Source organism: Homo sapiens, chromosome 4, assembly GCF_000001405.40.
Source record: "Homo sapiens chromosome 4, GRCh38.p14 Primary Assembly".
Taxonomy (NCBI): domain Eukaryota; kingdom Metazoa; phylum Chordata; class Mammalia; order Primates; family Hominidae; genus Homo; species Homo sapiens.
Window position 1 is genome coordinate 113,884,062 of NC_000004.12, and position 1,203 is coordinate 113,885,264.

At 39.9% G+C, this 1,203-nt stretch overlaps 1 annotated feature.

Annotated features, from left to right (window-relative positions):
- Positions 487–988: an enhancer, noted in NCBI's record as "NANOG hESC enhancer chr4:114805704-114806205 (GRCh37/hg19 assembly coordinates)". NCBI's record gives its function as "activates a minimal SCP1, AML or CMV promoter by ChIP-STARR-seq in naive H9 embryonic stem cells {active_cell/tissue: H9 hESC(naive)}" and the evidence as "EXISTENCE:reporter gene assay evidence [ECO:0000049][PMID:30033119]".

Here is a 1,203-nt window from a genome sequence, read left to right on the forward strand (position 1 = left end):
CTCTGCAGTAATAGATTAAAAGTGAAAATCTTTTGAAAAGTCATGGTAAAGATGATAAATTAAGAAAAACCATCAGAGGGCAGAACTGATAAGAAAACACAAATCCAAAATAGATGAGGTTGAAGTCAGTGTTTGCTGTTTACCTGAACAGCATCTGCCAGTAGTTGGTAACCTTGAGCCTGAATTATAATGTTGCCTGCATGCATGGAGGCTGGAAAGAAAGTACTAATAGTATGAACTTGAGTTTCATAGAAGGCTGGATCGGAGATAACCTCAAAAATCTGAGACTGCTCTTCCCAGACAGCAACACCCTCAGTGACTGAACTTGAGGGAAAACACCCTTGCGGAGGAAATGTTAATACTTGTCTGTCTTCTTGCAATATTAATTATGCATTTTTATATTTTATCATGCTTTGACATCTTGGGGTCTTGCTGATCTTGGAGAGACTGTCCCTTCCAAGGATAGCTAATTGCTAGAGATAGCGAACAACTTGCCTATGAGCATACCTTTCATATGCAAGCCAAACAATCCTGTCTCTACCTTCAGCCACCTCCTTTATTAACTCTCACACACCATACCAATATTCTCCCTGCTCTAAATCACCAACCAGGTACTAGGTAACTAGAGACCACCACTATAGCCCAAGGCCTGCTGAAATTTTAAAAACAATTTCAATCTTGTACTTGCTCAGCTTGCCTACTCCCTTTGTTCCTGAAAACAAAGAAAGAAAGAAAGAACACAATCACGGCTTTTGTCCATGTTTCCCTTTGTCCCTTCTGTCCCCTAATTGACCCTGGTGCTTCCCCAAGTGGCTTTGCATGGTGTGGCATGCCCTATCCTCTGGGGGACTGTGAGCAATAAACTCTTCTTTCAAGGCAGTTATCTCCATGTCTGTCATTTTATCATACCTGATTAAAACAAATCCCAGGTACATATTAAAACATCTTGGCTTTGGGTAGAACAGAATGTAAAATTAAAAACAAATACAAGAACAATGAAAATCCTTTAAACTCCTAACCAGAAGCCCTTACATACATAGGTATGAGGCAAGAATCACATTGCCATGTGACTTCAAAACCCAAGTCAATAATTAAGTTAAAGTGATTCTGGATTGGTGATGGCCCCATGAGCTTGGCAAAAGGAGACAAATCTGCTATGGGGGAAAGAACTTAAACAATTTCCAGGCAATTTTTAGAGTTCCA